The sequence below is a fragment of the Homo sapiens genome, chromosome 16 (assembly GCF_000001405.40).
Source record: "Homo sapiens chromosome 16, GRCh38.p14 Primary Assembly".
NCBI classification, from domain to species: Eukaryota; Metazoa; Chordata; class Mammalia; order Primates; family Hominidae; genus Homo; species Homo sapiens.
Window position 1 is genome coordinate 12,048,996 of NC_000016.10, and position 18,089 is coordinate 12,067,084.

The following is an 18,089-nucleotide window of genomic DNA, read 5'->3' on the forward strand; positions in this document are numbered from 1 at the left end:
CTCCTTTGGGATGGGTGTGGGTGGGTAGTTCATGACAAAATATATAATTTATGATCCTTAGGATAAAAGGGATGAAAGCCAAGCATAGACTGCTATGGGGAACATCTGCCATTGGTCTTGCCTCTGACTGGGGATGGCATTTAAGGCCTCAGGAAAGAGAGGAGTTGTCAGGTTTGACTCTAGGCTCTGGGGAAGCAAAAGAGTTGATTCAGGCCGGTCGTGGTGGCTCATGCCTATAATCCTAGCACTTTGGGAGGCCGAGGCAGGAGGATCGCTTGAGTTCAAGGGTTCTAGACCAGCCTGGGCAATGCAGTGAGACCCTGTCTCAATTTTTTAACTTTTTTTTTTTTTTTTTGAGACAGAGTCTCACTCTATTGCCCGGGTTGGAGTGCAGTGGCATGATCTCAGCTCACTGCAACCTCCACTTCCCGGGTTCAAGCAATTCTCCTGCCTCAACCTTCTGAGTAGGTGGGACTATAGGCATGTGCCAACATGCGTGGTTTCTTTTTGTATTTTTAGCAGAGACAGGGTTTCCCCATGTTGGCCAGGCTGGTCTTGAACTCCTGACCTCAGGTGATCTGCCCGCCCTGGCCTCTCAAAGTGCTAGGATTACAGGCGTGAGCCACTGTGCCCAGCCTGTTTTTAAAAAATTTTAATTAAAAAATTAAATATAAAAAAAGAAAGTTGATTCAGTTAAGATTAATTTGGTGAGAAGTTTTCAATACCCTTTGATTCCTTTGGGACATTAAGATGTTACTACAGCAAAATTGGAAATTTTGTTGTAGTATGTATGTGTATATATGTAGAGACAGGGTCTTGCCATGTTGCCCAGGCTGGTCTTGAACTCCTGGCCTCAAGTGATCCTCCTGCCTTGGCCTCCCAAAGTGCTGGGATTACAAGTGTGAGCCACTGCACCTGGTTGAAATTGGAAATTTTGGGCTTAAGTACTTAGTATTCTCAAATCTCTGAAACAAGGCAGTAACTGTGGCCATCCCTTTGGAATTATTCATGGTGAAAGTGTAGAGTCCCATGGTGTCTTTGGTACACAGTGGCCTTGTCTGTCTTGCCCTGTGCTTCTCCAGCAGAGACCCTGCACGAACCTTGTAGAAGATAGGGCTGTTGACAGCTTTGTGTAACAGACACTGAAATTTCTACACCCACAGGAGTAGAAGTTCCACCCATTTTTGGAACTCTGCTTTTGAGGTGATCTCAGAGTTGTGCTATACCAGTGAGGCCTCACCGCATCACACATTGGTTTAGACAGATTGGATTTTTGGAATTGGCTCAAAGTGTCTTACATCCAAGTGTGATGATTAAAATAGGGGCACAAAGTGTCTTCTGTGAGTGCTGGTCACTAAGGCAAGCTTGATTTCTTTTTCAGTTAACATTTGCTATATAACAAGTGATTTAAAAATGTAGCGGCTTAAAACCACTGCAGTTCGTTACTTTTTTGTGTGGGTTGGCATGGTGGCTCTTCTGCTGGGCTCTTTCGGCTCACTCATGGGAGCTGGTGGTTAGATTGGAAGATCCAAGATGGCCCCATCCACGTGTCTGGAATCAGTGCTGGGGCAGCTCGGGTTCTACTCATAGCCTCTCATCCTCCAGTCGGCTGAACTGGCTTCTTTATATATGGGGTCAGGGCCACTGTCCAGGAAAGCAAAGGCAAAGCTGAGACCTTTTAACACCTAGCTACTAGAACTCACACAGTGTTATTTCTGCCACTTTTTTTTTTTGGAGAAAGAGTCTCGCTCTGTCACCCAGACTGGAGTGCAATGGCGCAATCTTGGCTCACTGCAACCTCTGCCTCCCGTGTTCAAGAAATTCTCCTGCCTCAGCCTCCCAAGTAGCTGGGATTACAGGCACCTGCCACCACGCCCAACTAATTTTTTTTTTTTTTGTATTTTTAATACAGACGGGGTTTCACCATGTTTGCCAGGCTGGTCTTGAACTCCTGACCTCAGGTGATCCACCCGCCTTGACCTCCCAAAGTGCTGGGATTATAGGCGTGAGCCACCGCGCCCGGCCCTTTCTGCCACATTCTTTTGGTAGAAGCAGGGCATGGTGGCTCATGCCTATAATCCCAGCAATTTAGGAGGCTGAGGTGGGAGTATTGCTTGAGGCCAGGAGTTTTGAGACTAGCCTGGGCAGCACAGCAAGACCTCATCTCTACAAATAATAATAAAATTAGCTGGGTGTTGTGGCATGCACCTGTAGTCCCAGCTACTCAGGAGGCTGAGGGCAGAGGATTGTTTGATCCCAGGAATTTGAGGTTACAGTGAGCTATGATTGCACCATTGTACTCCAGCCTGGGCAATAGAGCGAGATGCCCCAACTCTTAAAAAAAAAAAAAAAAGCAGAGCACTACGCCAGCCAGATTCAAGAGGGTGCAGAAATAGACATCACCTCTGGCTGGGAGGAGCCACAAAGATCCATTGCAAAGGGGCATTGCACAGGAATGGCAGGAGTTTGAGGCTGCTCAACCCTTGACTACACCCCCCAGCTGGTTCTCCTGGTCTCATCTACCAGCTATGAGAATATTTTCCAAAGTGAAGCATTGAAGATCATTTTGGTAATGGTAGCATCCTTCGCATCAAAGTGACTGCTTAGAAGGAACAGTTTCAAGATGTGCTCTGTGGTGTGTTTATTTAAATCAGAGGCAGAGGCCTGCGTCCATTCTGCTCAATCTTCTGTACACAGATTTTCACTGAGGATTTTAAAAAGTCTGAATTCATGTTACAGTGTATTTCTCACTCGAATAGTATTTTCCATAACCTGGAGGTGAGTTGGTTCCATCATCCTTTTGTCTTGCCTCCTTTTTCTTATACTGTATCTTTTTTTTTTTTTTTGCCAGATGCCAAATGCAAAAAGGAGCGGAAGAAGAAAAAGAAAGTGACCAACATAATCTCATTTGATGATGAGGAAGATGAGCAGAACTCTGGGGACGTGTTTAAAAAGACACCTGGGGCAGGGGAGAGCTCAGAGGACAACTCCGACCGCTCCTCTGTCAATATCATGTCCGCCTTTGAAAGCCCCTTCGGGCCTAACTCCAATGGAAGTCAGAGCAGCAACTCATGGAAAATTGATTCCCTGTCTTTGAACGGGGAGTTTGGGTACCAGAAGCTTGATGTGAAAAGCATCGATGATGAAGATGTGGATGAAAACGAAGATGACGTGTATGGAAACTCATCAGGAAGGAAGCACAGGGGCCACTCGGAGTCGCCCGAGAAGTAAGTTTGTGTGTAAGGTGGAGTCTCACCGTCCCCCAGGCTGGAGTGCCGTGGCGTGATCTCAGCTCACTGCAACCTCCACCTCCCGGGTTCAAGCTATTCTCCTGCCTCAGCCTCCCGAGTAGCTGGGATTACAGGCACCTGTCACCACACCCAGCTAATTTTTGTATTTTTAGTAGAGATGGGGTTTCACCATATTGGCCAGGCTGGTCTCAAACTCCTGACCTCAAGTGATCTGCCTGCCTTGGCCTCCCAAATTGCTAGGTTTACAGGCATGAGCCACCACGCCCAGCCTTCCCTTGCACTTTTAATGAGGGGGTTAAGTTCACTGTTTTCTCTTTCTATGGTATTGGGTAAAATAGGTCTGCAAGCTTTATATTTGCCCAGGGTATCATTCATTCTTCAGGTGTTGATTTAGGAGTGTTATTTGGAAGGAGTATTATTTGCTCTTCCCCTGAGAACTGAAAGAGGGGAAAGGAGTACATTTGAGGGCACTTAATACAAAGTTAATGTCAGAATGTGTGCCTTGAAATTCTTGCTTTATACATACATCTGTCATTTTCATTTCACAGGGTTCACAGGGTTTCACAGTCTGATGAGACTGTGCCTGTTATTGTTTTTTATTTTTACTCTGGATTTTCCTTGCATCTGACTTGCCACTAGCACAGGAAGCTCAGGACGAAGGCAGCGTTAGGAGAATAGTTGTGGTATGGTGACTTCTGTGTTTATCTGCAGGGGTGTGAATAGCCGTAACTTGCCTGCACCTGCTGCCTTAACAGTGGAGTTGGCCAGGCGCAGTGGCTCACACCTGTAATCCCAGCACTTTGGGACACCAAGGTGGGTGGATCACCTGAGGTCAGGAGTTCTAGACCAGCCTGACCAACATGGTGAAACCCCTTCTCTACGTATAAAAAAATACAAAATTAGCCAGGCATGGTGGTGCATGCCTGTAACTCCAGATACTTGGGATGCTGAGGCAGGAGAATCGCTTGAATATGAGAGGCGGAGCCAAGATGATGCCATTGCACTCCAGCCTGGGCAACAAGAGAGAAGGTCCTTCTCAAAAAAAAAAAAAAAAAAAAAGTCCCCCAAATACCCCAAATAAGCTAGTTACCTCTTAGGCTTTGTGGTGCGCAGTGCCCTCCTAATCATGACTACTGCAAAATCCAGTCCATTAAAGTGTAAAATGAGGCCAGGTGCAGTGGTTCATGCCTGTAATCCCGGCACTTTGGGAGGCTGAGTTGGGAGGATTCCTTAAGGCCAGGAGTTTGATACCAGCCTGGGCAACACAGCAAGACTCTGTCTCTACAAAAAAATAAAAAGTATAAAATGAATATACAGAAATGTATCTTTCTATCTGACCTAAATCTTATGGTATTGTTTAGGCTGCAGTATACCCTTAGCCCTAAGATTTTTGTTTTCATGTTGTTACAATATTAGGGTTTTTTTTTTTTTTCTGATGAGACTGTGCCTATTATTGTTTTTTATTTTTACTCTAGTCCTCATCTGCATGGATGCTTGTACTAGTAGTGTTACCTTATTGATCATCTGAGATATGCCAGGTGCTGCAGATGATTTATACCCTATATTGTAAGACGTCTAGCAGCCCTATGAGGTTCATGGGTATCACCTCCATTTTACAGACAGAAGAACAGGATTCCATAGGGAGGCAAGATTTGTGAAAGCCATTGGCTAAATTGAGATTTGGATTCAGGTATGCTGTAATCCAAAGCTTATATTGTCAGTTTTTGTTTTTTTTTTTTGAGACAGAGTCTTGCTCTGTCGCCCAGGCTGGGGTGCAGTGGCGTGATCTCGGCTCACTGCAAACTCCGCCTCCCGGGTTCATGCCATTCTCCTGCCTCAGCCTCCCGAGTAGCTGGGACTGCAAGCGTCCGCCACCACGCCCGGCTAATTTTTGTATTTTTAGTAGAGACAGGGTTTCACCCTGTTAGCCGGGATGGTCTCAAACTCCTGATCTCGTGATCTGCCCGCCTTGGCCTCCCAAAGTGCTGGGATTACAGGCATGAGCCACTGTGCCCAGCTATTCTGTCAAATGTTTTTCATGTTTCTACTTAATTATGAATATTGATTTGTTGATGTAATGGTTAATTTTGTGTGTCAACTTAACTGGGCTGTGGGATGCCCAGATTGAATATTCTGCTTCTGGGTGGATCAGTGGGGATGTTTCTGGGTGAGGGAAGTGTTTGAATTGGTGGACTCAGTAAAGGCGATAGCCCTCCCCAGTGTGGGTGGACCTCATCCAATCCATTGAAGGCCTGAACAGAACAACAAGTGAAGGCAGGGAGGGATTCTTTCCTTTCCGCCTGCTAGCTTCAGCTGGAACATGGCTTTTCGGCCCTGGGCCAGGGACTCCCACTATCTGCTCTCCTGGTTCTCAGGCTTCAGACTTGGACTTCACCACACCCCCAGCTTTCCTGGGTCTTCAGCTTGTGGACTGCGGATCATGGGACTTCTTGGTCCCTGCAGTTGTGTGGAGCAGTTCCTCAATATAAACCTGTATTTGTATCTCTCTGTCTCTCTCTCTTCAGGCACACACCCCTTGGTTCCATTTCTCCGCAGAACCGTGGCTAACGCAGTTGCCTTTCAGTCAGATCAACATATTATGACTTGTGAAATGTTTCCCCTTTTGTTGGGTATTTATGCTGATGGTTTTTGTTTTTGCTTTTTGTTATCAGCGGATCTCAAATGAATATTTTCACACGCAAGATTTTTTTCCTACGAGTGAACTGTTTGTTAGGGCAGCTTTTCAGCAGCCTTGTTCTTGCTCATAGGGTATGAATGTTTTTGTACCTGGCATCCAAGTCTTGTGACCTGCTGTGTTATTCAGGGCTTTCTAGAGAAACAGAACCAGTGTGGTGGGGCTGAGGCGGACGTTCTGTGTGTGGATGTGTGTAGTTCCTTCTCTGTCCTGCTCTATTTTTTCTCAATTTCTACCTCTATCTGTACCTCTAACTCCATTTCTATCTCTGTTTCTGTGTCTCTGTTTCCTTTCTTTTTTTTTTTTTTCTGAGATGGAGTCTTGCTTTGTCACCTAGGCTGGAGTACGGTGGCACGATCTCAGCTCACTGCAACCTTTGTCTCCTGGGTTTAAGTGATTCTTGTGTCTCAGCCTCTCGAGTAGCTGGGATTACAGGTACCTACCACACCCCGCTAACTTTTGTGATTTTAGTAGAGATGGGGTTTTACCCTGTTGGCCAGGCTGGTCTCAAACTCCTGACCTCAAATGATCCACCCACCTCAGCCTCCCAGAGTGCTGGGATTACAGGCATGAGCCACCACGCCTGGTCTTATCTTGATTTATTTTAAGGAATTGGCTCATGTGATTGTGGGGCTGGGAAGTCCAAAATCCACAGGTTAGGTGTGTGGACTGGAGACCCAGGGAAGAGTTGCAGTTCAGGTCCAGAGGCAATCTGCTGGCAGAATTTCTTCTTCCTTTGGAAGGTCTGTCTTTTTCCTATCGAGGCCTTGCACTGCTTGCATGAAGCCCACCCACATTATGCAGCGTAATCTGGTTCACCCAGAATCTACTGATTTAAATGTTAATCTCATCTAATAGAAACAGCTAGAATAATGTTTGACCAAATACCTGGGTATTGTGGCCCAGCAAAATTGACACATACAATTAACCCTCACAAGTGCCTTTATTCTTTTTTTTCTGGAACAGAGTCTTACTCCATGGCCCCGGCTGTAGTGCAGTGGTGCGATCTCAGTTCACTGCAACCTCTGCTCCCAGGTTTAAGCGATTCTCCTGCCTCAGCCTCCAGAGTAGGTGGGACTACAGGAGTGTGCCACTATACCCGGCTAATTTTTGTATTTTTAATAGAGATGGGGTTTCACCATGTTGGCCAGGCCTGTATTGAACTCCTGAGCTCAAGTGATCCACCTGCTTCAGCCTCCCAAAGTGCTGGGATTGCAGGCATGAGCCTCTGCACCTGGCCATGTGCCTTTACTTTGTAATCTGGGCCTTTGAGGAGATGCTGCTTGCTGATGCCACTGAGTGTAGCCCCATGGGTGAGGCTGGTGTGTGAGCCAAGGCAGCCCCCAGCATTGTGTGTAAATGCCCAACACAGTGCAGGGTGACCTTCACTTGGCCTGGGCCCTCTGAAGCCAGAGGGCCTCCTGCAGACTCTGGACAGCTCTCCCCGGCATTAAGAGGGATCTTGACTGACCCTTCCACAGAGCAGCCTGGGGAAGACACAGCGGAGTGATGGGATGGCCTGCTGAGTAATGCTTTGATTTTGATTCTAAGCTAGTGTTCACAGGGAAGGTTGAGGGGGCTGGTGCACAGCAGATGTGTGAGGGGAATGCAGCCAGACCAGGAGAAGCTCACTGTGGATTGCCACAGTGTCTGGCAGAGTCTGCTGCCCTGTTGTCTTTAAGACCCTCTGTTGGTCAAAGTTAGGCTTACTCATTGGTTTACTGGTCATTAACCCATTCTTTGATGTCTGAAGAAGTCTTGTTTCTTCTGCCTCTGTATTTATCATAAGTATTAGCTTTGCGTTTTGTATTTTTCTTTACAAGGGATAGTATTTTTATTACGGTCAGGTTTTGTTCTTTTGTTCTTTTTTTGTTTTGTTTTGTTTCTTTGTTTGTTTTTTTGAGACAGGTCTTGCTCTGTCATCCAGGCTGGAGTGCAGTGGCCTGATCACACCCTCAACTCAGGGAACTCCTAGTGTCAAGTGATCTCCCTGCCTCAGCCTCCTGAGTAGCTAGGACTATAGGTACATGCCACCACGCCCAGCTAATTTTTTATAGAAATGGGGTCTCAAGGCATTGCTCAGGTTGGTCTTGATTTCCTGGCCTGAAGTGATCCTCCTATGTTGGCCTCCCTGAGTGCTGGGATTACAGGCATGGGTCACTGAGCCAGGCCCAGATGGGGCTTTTTAAATCACTTTATATGTGCTCTATGATACCGGTAGGGAAGTAGGGGGAAACATAATTCAGAAAGGACTACAAACATATGCTGTGTCTCGCTATTCTGCATCTCACTAGCAGTTAAGCAAATGCAAAGTGAAACAAGACTCCATATTTTGCCCATCATATTTGCGGAGACCTTGGGTTGGCGCCCTGGTGGAAGGGAAAGATCTTGCTGTCAGTGAGTCCTCAGTTCCTGGCACATCCCATAGCATCCACTTGGTGTCTGTGGGATGAATGAGGCTGCAGGGATGGTGCACAGGGGCTGACCTCATAGACAGCTGGAAGCAGTTGAGCTGGGAGCAGTTGATAGCCATGGGGGAAAGCAGTTTGACAAACTGGCATGAACTTAAGGATGTTTATCCCACTTGGTTTAGCAGTCCCAGTGCGAGAAGCAGCCCAGAGAACATACCCTCGATTCAGGGAAAAGTTGCTACATCTAGATACCAAAGTTCTTATTCAGAGAAGCAGAACACTGGAGTTGACCTAAATGTGCAGCCACAGGGGGACGGTTAACAGCAGAAGATTTTATAGTTTAAGCCTTGACATTTTAACATTTAGGATCTCAAACATCTCAAATGATGTTTAAGAGTGTCTAGTGTTATGAAGCTGAGCTAATGAGTACATATATACATACATATACATATATATATATATTTTATATATATATTTTTTTTTGAGCTGGGTTCTCGCTCTGTCACTCAGGCTGGAGTACAGTGGCACAATCTTGGCTCACTGCAATCCCTGCCTCCTGTGTTCAAGCGATTCTCCTGCCTCAGCCTCCCAAGTAGCTGGGATTATAGGTGACCACCACCACTCCCGGTTAATTTTTTGTATTTTTAGTAGAGATGGGGTTTCACCATGTTGGCCAGGCTGGTCTCAAAACTCCTGACCTCAGGTGATCTGCCCACCTTGGCCTCCCAAAGTGCTGGGATTACAGGTGTGAGCCATCATGCCTGGCCTAATGAGTTAATATTGAATGGAAAAAACAAGATAAAAAACTCAACATTTTGCTTCATTACAACTGTGTAAAGAATAGTCCGCACAGCAGGAAAGAAAAAAAGACATGTGGGAAACTGAGTCTGACACAGTAATGTTTTGGATAATGTGGCTGTTGGGTGGTTTATTTTTTCTCTCTCTTCTTTTGGGCATTTTCTAAGTTTTCAAATAACGTGTGTTAATTGTCTTGCTGAGGAGCAACAGTTGTAATAATGAGTGGTTTTAAGCCAATCAAGGCACCAGATACTGAGGCAGTGTCAGCTTCAGGAATCTTTAATGTCACTCATTTTGAGGCAGTAGCCCTTGGGGCCCACTGGTGTTTTTTTTTTTGGTTTTTGGTTTTTTTTTTTTTTTTGAGATGGAGTCTCGCTCTGTCACCCAGGCTGGAGTGCAGTGGCGGGATCTCAGCTCACTGCAACCTCCGCCTCTCGAGTTCAAGTGATTCTCCTGCCTCACCCTTCCAAGTAGCTGGGATTACAAGCACCCACCACCACGCCCTGCTAAGTTTTGTATTTTTAGTAGAGACGGGGTTTCACCATGTTGGCCAGGCTGGTCTTGAACTCCTGACCTCAGGTGATCTACCCGCCACGGCCTCCCAAAGTGTTGGGATTACAGGTGTGAGCCACAGCACCCGGCCTGGGTTTTTTTTTTTTTTTTTTTTTTTTTTTCTCTGTGGCCCAGGCTGGAGGAAGTGGTATGATCTCAGCTCACTGCAGCCCTCGACCTCCCAGGCTCAAGGGATCCTCCCACCTCAGCCCCTCCAGTAGCTGGGTCTACAGGTGTGCAATACCATACCTGGCTAATTTTTAAATTTTTTGTAGAGACAGGGCTCGAACTCTTGGGCTCAAGTGATCCTTCTGCCTCGGCCTCCCAAAGTACCGGAATTATAAATGTGAGCCACTGGCCTGGCCAGCAATCTTTAATGTAACTCATTTTGAGGCGGTGGTCCTTGGGGCTCACTTCTCGGGTTTGGAACCTCATCCTCTTGGGGCCTGGCTTCACCTTGTACTTGCATATGTTGCGGGGAAGGGTCAAGAATTATCTTAGAAACCAGCAGAACATCGCACCTGCCCTGAGGCAGTGGAGTGGCCTAGAAAGGACTGTCTGCTTTTGCTGCCTTCTCCTGAAAGGGCGCCCCTGACCACCTCTGGGTGCCGGCTCCGTGGTCACCAGTGGCCAGGTCAGAGCCTCAGGAGGGCGCCTCTTGACAGATTCCAGAGGCACAGCCAAGGTCATCTGGTTCTCCCCCAGGTTGGGCTCCTGCCAGGACAGTCGCGGGAGCGGCTCTTCTTTTGCCCCCACCCTGCTGTCTGAAAGCCTCATTGTGGTATGGGCATGGTTGAATGATCTGTCTTGCAAAATTCTGCTAGGATTATTTCCTCCTGTGCTTCTCACTCTGTGCCACATGTCTGGCCAAAAGCTAGAGAGGGCTGAAAGGAGACTTCTACCTGACAAGCCTCTAAAATAGGAGCTGGCAATCCCTGCCTGCGGACCAAACCCGCCCCCAAGCAGTGAACAGTTGTTACATTTTTAAAGAGTTATTAAGAGACACCAAGAAAGAAGACTGTGTCATGAAGCCTGAAATATGTACTCTCTGGTCTATTACAGAAAATATTTGTTGATTTTAGAGTAGCTCTAACATAAAGACAAACTATATAAGTAATGTCACTTGTGGGCAGGAGACGACTCGGTGCACTTGAGTTTGGAAGACCTGGGCTCCAGTCCCACAGCCTTGGTTCTGTTGCTTAGTGCTGATGGCCTTGGACAAGCCACACACTTTTTCTTCTTTTGCCTCCCTTCCCTTTGTCTGCCCCCGCACTTCCCTTCTTAAGTAGGTATGATTATGATCTGCTTTGGTCTTCTTTATCTACTGAGATACAGAATGATGTTTAAACCTTACAGTACAGCTGGCTCTCTGCATCCATGGACTCTGCATCCGTGAGTTCCGCATCTATGGTTTCAACCAACTGTGGATCAAAAATATTACCAAAAAAAAACCAATAAAAATAATACAATAAAAATACAGTATAACAACTATTTACATAGCATTTGGATTGTATTAGGTATCATAAGCAATCTAGAGATGATGTAAAGTACATATGTGGGAGGATGTGCTTATGCAAATACTACACCGTTTTACATCAGGGACTTCAGGCTAGGCGAGGTGTCTTATGCCTGTAATCCTAGCACTTGGGGAGGCTGAAGCAGGAGGATCGCTTGAGGCTAGGATTTTGAGACCAGCCTGGACAACATAGGGAGACCCTGTTTTCACAAAAAAACAAAACAAAACAAAAAATTAGCCGGGTATGGTGGCTCACACCTGTAGTCCAAACTCCTCGGGATGCTGAGGCAGGAGGCTCTGCCAAATCCCAAGAGCTCAAGGTTGCAGTGAACTATGATTGTGCCACTGTACTCCAGTGTGGACAACAGAGCAAGACTCCAACTCTAAAACAAAACAAGGGACTTTGAGCATCCTCAGATTTGCAGGGGTTTTTTGAAACGGTTGATACAGATGTAATGCAGATACTGGGGGACGGCTATACTGCAAAAATACCTCCAGGTATTTATTAACATTTCTTGATTGCTCAGAGGCAAGTGCTGCAGGGGCAATTACTCCCAAACAAACCCAACCACACTGCCTGGCGTTTCGAAGATGGCACGCATTAGAGATTTGTACTTTGTGGGTAAGGTGACAGTATAACAGATCATATGAGCATGGTTAATAATTGAGCCGACTCCCTTTCTTGGAAGGGACCCAGACGTGACTGGTCTGATTCTGTCCTTTTACCCACGAGGGGCTCAGATGCAGCGAGGCGGAGCAACGCTAGCCCTAGGTCAGGTGGCTGCTGTCATTTCGGAACGTGGAGCAGATGGCCTGTGATGCATGTGCTGTCCCCTTCCCCAAGCCTTTGTCCCTCCTCTTCACTCGGTGGCTTGGGCTTCCTCCAGCTCCCCTCCTCAAGCCCTGCTTCTTCCAGGCAGCCTTCCATGACCTTCCTGGAATGAGCTTTCTCCACAATCTGAGATGCCATTTACAGCTTCTTGCAGGATTATTTGGTTCATGTTCATGCCCCCCAACAGACTGCAGGCTCCCTCAGGGCAGGATCAACAGTATTCACTGGCTCTTTTGCCACCAGTAGGGAGCACAGTGCCTGGCATATAATAGGTGCTCAGTAAACACTGGTTGAGAGAACAAATGCAAGAGGTCTGGATCTGGACTCCACGCTCTACCTCCCAGCCCACACCTCCTTCTGTTCTCAGCCCTGCCTTGGCCTGGTTAGTTCTCAGGAGGGTGCTGTGGATGCTTGTTGGTGAGTCATGCGGCCTGTGGGCTCTTTGGCCTGTCCTGCAGCTGTATTCTTTCACCTTAGGCCACTGGAAGGGAACACCTGCCTCTCCCAGATGCACAGCTGGGCTCCGCTGAAGGTGCTGCACAATGACTCCGACATCCTCTTCCCTGTCAGTGGCGTGGGCTCCTACAGCCCAGCAGGTGGGTGTCTCCCGATTACTCCTTTCCTCCAATAAGAGCTTTGGCTTCGAGAACCAGCAGGAATGTCTGAGTTCCCTGGACAGGTAGGAATGGGAGCCGGGAGGCACGGGAGTCGGGGTGTGGTTCAGGGCCAGGGGGAGCTCACTGAGATGCAGAAGTGAGAGAGGGCTTGGCTTCTCTCCCTGAACCTGGGTATCCTGAGGTGCTCTCCGTGGAGTGAGTGTTGGGCTGAACCAGCTGGCAAGTCACCAGGGCCTGCAGGCCTGTTTTTCTCCCTTACCAGTGGCCCGTTGAACTTGGTCGTTTAAAAGCTGACCACAAATAGTGACCACGATTTTGCCTCTTTGGAGATGCAAGAAGGTAACTGAACCCCTGTCTGTAAAGGCCCTGCCACCCTGTGCAGAAAAGTGCTTGGGGATCAGGAAGTAGCTTGGTTAAAAGCTGTTTCTGGGCTGGGTGCGATATCTCATGCCTGTAATCCCAGCACTTTGTGAAGCCGAGGCGGGTGGATCACCTGAGGTCAGGAGTTTGAGACCAGCCTGGCCAACATGGTGAAGCCCTGTCTCTACTAAAAATACAAAAATTAGCTGGGTATGGTGGTGTGTGCCTGTAGTCCCAGCTACTCACGAGGCTGAGGCAGGAGAATTGCTTGAACCCGGGAGGTGGAGGTTGCAGTGAGCCGATATCGTGGCACTGTACACCACCCTGTGTGACAGTGAGACTCTGTCTCAAAATAAATAAATAAATAAATAAATAAATAAATAAATAAATAAATATGTCTCTGGTATGGGTAAGCATTTTTGCACCATTCCACACGGTTGAGCACGTGCCCGTGTGGTTTGTTATTGTTTTCTTTAGTGCAGGTCATGGGGAGGACGTGGTTGATCCCAGCTGGCCTGTGGGGTGCAGTGTAATGCAGCTGGCACAGCATCTGGCTCAGAGAAGTGCCCAGTTGCTGTCCCTGCCCTCAGAACACCGCTGGGTCAGAGAAGACTTGGCCCAACCTTCTTAGGCGCCTCCTCGTTTTCTTAGGAAGTGAATGTGCCTTCTCTGGGCCCAGATTTAGGAAATTATGACTGGAGCCCACTAATCACTCAGGAAGCTGTTGAAATTCTGAACTGGGGTGTAGATTCTTCCTGTCACTTGGCAGGGAGCATAAACCTACTCAAACTAGCTGAAGCACAGAGGCAGGGCGGGGACAGTCACTGGCAGCAGGACGGGGCCAGTCAGATGCAGTACTAGCTCTAGAAAGTTGAGTAAGCCTGAGTGCATTACTGCTCTGAGCGTCAGCATTCCTGGCTGTTAAATGAGGCTGAGTGCTTCCTGTCTGTCAGTTGCTGTGTCCTCATCTGGAAAATGGGGATGACAGTGACAATGAGAGCCAGCATTTGCAAAGCCAAAGGAGCCCTGCACTGCAGTGTGGCTGACCCTGATGAACTCATCTGCTCTTGAGCACAGTCCTGTGAGAGTGGGGGGTGTGATTATATCAGCTACCTTTGAGATCCACAGTGAAGGCGCCTTGAGTTAATCTGGGGAAGGTGCCAGGCACATGCCAAGGCCCCTGGTGAGAGCTTCAGGGACATCTTGTCCATGGCCCAGGAGCTGGGGCGTTGGCATGGAGGGGGCTTTCCTGACTTGGTGGGGTGCTGTCATCTTTCTTATGTGGCCTCCCTCCACTTCCTGATGGGGGTCTGCCCACCTCTTCTTTTCCTAGTCCATCTTTTTTTTTTTTTTTTTTTTTTTTTTGAGGTGGAGTCTCACTCTGTCACCCAGGCTGGAGTGCAATGGCATGATCTTGGCTCACTGCAACCTCCGCCTTCTGGGTTCAAGTGATTCTCCTGCCTCAGCTTCCAGATTAGCTGGGATTACAGGCATGCACCACCATGCCCGGCTAAATTCTTTTTGTATTTTTAGTAGAGATGGCGTTTCGCCATGTTGGCCAGACTGATCTCAAACTCCTGACCTCACGTGATCCACCTCCTTGGCCTCCCACAGTTGCTGGGATTATAGGCATGAGCCACCGTGCCCGGCCTTTTCTAGTCCGTCTTTGCTCCCTGTTCATTCTCATGCCCTCCTTGGCCCACACCATGCCTCAGTCACATGACCTTCCATACCAACTGGAATTTCTCATGGGTCTCAGTTGAGGTCCCCTAAAAGTGACAATCTCGTAGGCCTAGCTCATGTTTGCAGGCCAGGCCACCGAAGTCCTGCATTTCTAGACCATCCATGGTCCAAATAGCCAAAGGTTACGGGGTTGGTGACCTTGCTGATGCCTGTTCAGCGGCAGTGTAGATGCAGGCAGGTCATCTGAGGAGGGGCAGGGGCTGGGAGAGAGCAGGTGGTCCCAGGATGTGTCTAGGACCCCTGGGGAGTTTTGAATGTGTGTTCACAGGCTCTGTCTCATGAATCAATTTCCTGCTCACCTTGTCCCGTTCCCCATGGAGGGGTCTTGTAGTTGGGTTCTTGAATTATTGTGGAACCGTGAGGTGCTTGCAGTAGGTGGTCTGATTGTTTTGGCAGCTCCTTTGCCGCTTAGCTGGGCCCCCTGAACCATCAGACATCCGGGTCAGCTCCTTTGCCGCTTAGCTGGGCCTCCTGAACCATCAGACATCCGGGTCTCCTTTTTCGTGCATGTTGGGCTTTGGTCTTAGAGAACCCAGAGCTCTTCCTGCTCTTCTGGGCTTTCTGTAGCAAGTGTGTCCAGGGAACGTAGCTCCCCATCAGCCTCTAGAGTCCTTGCAGATTTCCTGTGGTCCCACACCCGGCTGTCAGCTCGCAGAGTCAGCTCCATCTTCTCACTGCTGATGGGACCCGAGCTCCAGCTGATGTCGAATGCACTCTCTGGAGATGACGTGTGCCGGCGTCAGCCAGCATTTCCCTTCTCTGCAGTAACGATGCTGTCAGGGGGCTTGTGAGCTGGGACAGCCCAGGGGCTGCGCACAGGGGCAGGACATGGCATAGGGAGAAACATTATTCCAGGACTGTGTCAGGATGTTGGACTCAGAGCCAGGGGAATGGGTAGCCTGATTGGGACGCCAGGTTGCATCAAGTCCCTTCTGTCCTGATGCCCCATTTCCATGGGAGGTGTGGGGCCGACTGGTGCCAAGACTCTGCCTGCCTGCCCAGGTGGCCACCGCCACCATTTCTCCTGAGACTCCATTCCTTTTGCTCTGTTTCTGCCTTTTGTCCCTTCTGAGGGACATCTTCCTTCCTTAGAGATATTCTGACATTCCCTCTCATTCTGGAGCCACTTCGTCTTTTAATGGAGACTTCCCACATGGAGGGCTCCTCACCTTAGGAGACTTTTGTCATCTTTGAACACGCTGGTGCCTTTGCAGTCACTGACAGTGGGGATAGTTAGAGAAGGCAAAGGCACTGGCTGGGAGAGGATGCTTTCTGCAGCTGAGTGTTGGGAGGGAGAAAGGAGCAAAGAAGGGGGAACCCTGAAAGGAGTTCTCTTGAATCTTGGAAGAGATAACTCTGTGGTTTAGGGAGGAGTTTTGGAGTTGCTTTTCTTGGGTGACAGAGCCATTCACAGAAGGGGACAGCACCCCAGGTTGCAAGAGGAGACCCCAGACAAGCAAATGAGGACTGGGGACCATGCGTGGTTCCTCTGGGAGTATGTGGTGTCTATACCTGAGCAAAGCAAATTCACCAGCATTGCTTTCCAGTTGCAAGGAAGGGAGAGCTACCCAGGTTTATTTTGAGTGGGAATAGTAAACGGGTGAAAAATCACCTGTCAGTACAAGGTGATATGACTGCTCATCCCTTCATTGAGGGTCCTGTGTTTAGTATTGGGTTTTAGGAAATGCACAATTTCCAAGGGCTTTCTTAGGTTCCTTTGAAACCTTGGGTCCTCAAACCCTTTGTTTCCCCATCAAGTCTAAAGTTCTATTTCTCCTTGTCCTCACGTTGGATCTTGGAAGTTGTTTGTTGAGGTTGAGGACAGACTGTGGTGGCTCTGCCATAATCTGATGTGATTGGTTTTAGCACTTAGCTCTTAGTGGGCAGTTTTACTGTTTTGGTTGTCAGTGTTGCGGTGGCTGGGCGGACACTGCCCTGGTTGTGCTTCCCAGTCAGCTTATACGGGTTGTGTGCTGTTTGGGGTTCCTGGTTTTCTTTATTCAGTCTTCCCACTGGATCACTGGATGCAGGCCTGTATGCTAAAGTGGGTACAGGCTCAGCTCTGCCATTGGACGGACCAGGGTTCAAACCTTTGCACTTGTTAGTTCTGTGATCTTGAACAAGTTGCTTAAATTTTCGGGATCCATTTCCTCATCCGTAAAATTAGATAATGGTATCTGTCTTGGGGGCCTTAAGGATGAGACGGTCTATGCTGTGTGCACCCCAGAGCGTCAGGCCCACAACAAGTACAAGCCATTCGCGGTTGTGCATCGTGAAGGGGCCCGTGGGCAATCACCTGGGACCGTGTGGACATTGTATCCTCACTGAGCGCTCTCATTGAAGGCTGGGTGGGTCCATGCCTTTGCCCCAGCTGTGGATTTCCACTCTGCATGTTGAGTCCCTGTCTTTGCTTCAGGGAATGTAGTCTGACTCTGCATGAGTTAGATTAGCAAGGATGACAGGGAACTGGGGCGTCTGCTGTAGAAGGCCTCTTAGATGGTATGGAGCCTTTGGACCACGGGGCAGTGGACACGACTTGTGAGCCAAGAGGAGGAGGTCATTTTGGGGGCACTGAGCAGTCTTGGATCCCCCTGGCTCTGTGATGGGATGGAGGGTGGGTGCCGTGCTCTTGTGAGCTTACAGCCTAGTGCGACATAAGATGGGGTTGTGAGGGTCAGGATCTGTTGGTAGGCACAGCGGGGTATCCCAGTAGAGTTTTCTAGAAGGCAGTTAGAGATGTGGGACTGAGATTCAAGACAGGTCTGGGCTAGAGGTGAGGGCTTGAGCACTGTCGTCTTCACGGAGGTGAGAACTGTAGCCAAGACCTTGCCAGATGTGCCGAGGGTGACAGAGGGCCTTGGGGCCATGATTCAGGGCCACCTTCACTCAGGAATCAGAGAAAAGATGGTGGGGAGGAGGGCCGGAGATTAGTGTTGGGAAGGTTGAGAGAGGGGAGCGCCAAGTAGGAGGGGATGGTGGGGTGGGGGCTGAGGGAGGGGTTCCTTGGGCCATTCCAGTTGACCAGGTGGGAGGATGAATGCCCGAGGTAGCCAGGATCTGTTATGGGGTGAGTTGATGCCACCCTCACTGAGCATTCTCATTGAGTTTTACATGCGTTAAGATGTAACATTCGGGAGTCTGAGGCAGGAGGATTGCTTGAGGCCAGGAGTTTGAGACTGGTCTGGGCAACATAGTGAGACCGTGTCTCTAAAATAAATAAATAAATAAATAAATAAATAAATAAATAAATAAATAAATAAATAAGCAGGCCAGTCATGAGGGTGCATGCCTGCAGTCCTAGCTACTCAGGAGGC

At 48.5% G+C, this 18,089-nt stretch overlaps 1 protein-coding gene across 22 annotated transcripts in view; it reads left to right on the forward strand.

Annotated features, from left to right (window-relative positions):
• The window catches only part of SNX29 (sorting nexin 29), a 597,554-nt gene that overhangs the window by 72,262 nt on the left and 507,203 nt on the right, over window positions 1-18,089 (forward strand). For 21 of the 22 annotated variants that reach the window (XR_001752024.3, NM_032167.5, XM_017023874.2 and 18 more), the window contains 2 exons: window positions 2,852-3,227; window positions 12,533-12,651. Coding sequence is in view for 21 of the 22 variants with exons in the window: in NM_032167.5 (NP_115543.3) it covers window positions 2,852-3,227; window positions 12,533-12,651 (495 nt within the window). In the remaining variant the exon portion in view is untranslated. Of the gene's footprint in view, window positions 1-2,851; window positions 3,228-12,532; window positions 12,652-18,089 lie in introns of those variants that run through there. The other variant, XM_047434888.1, reaches the window with a different exon arrangement.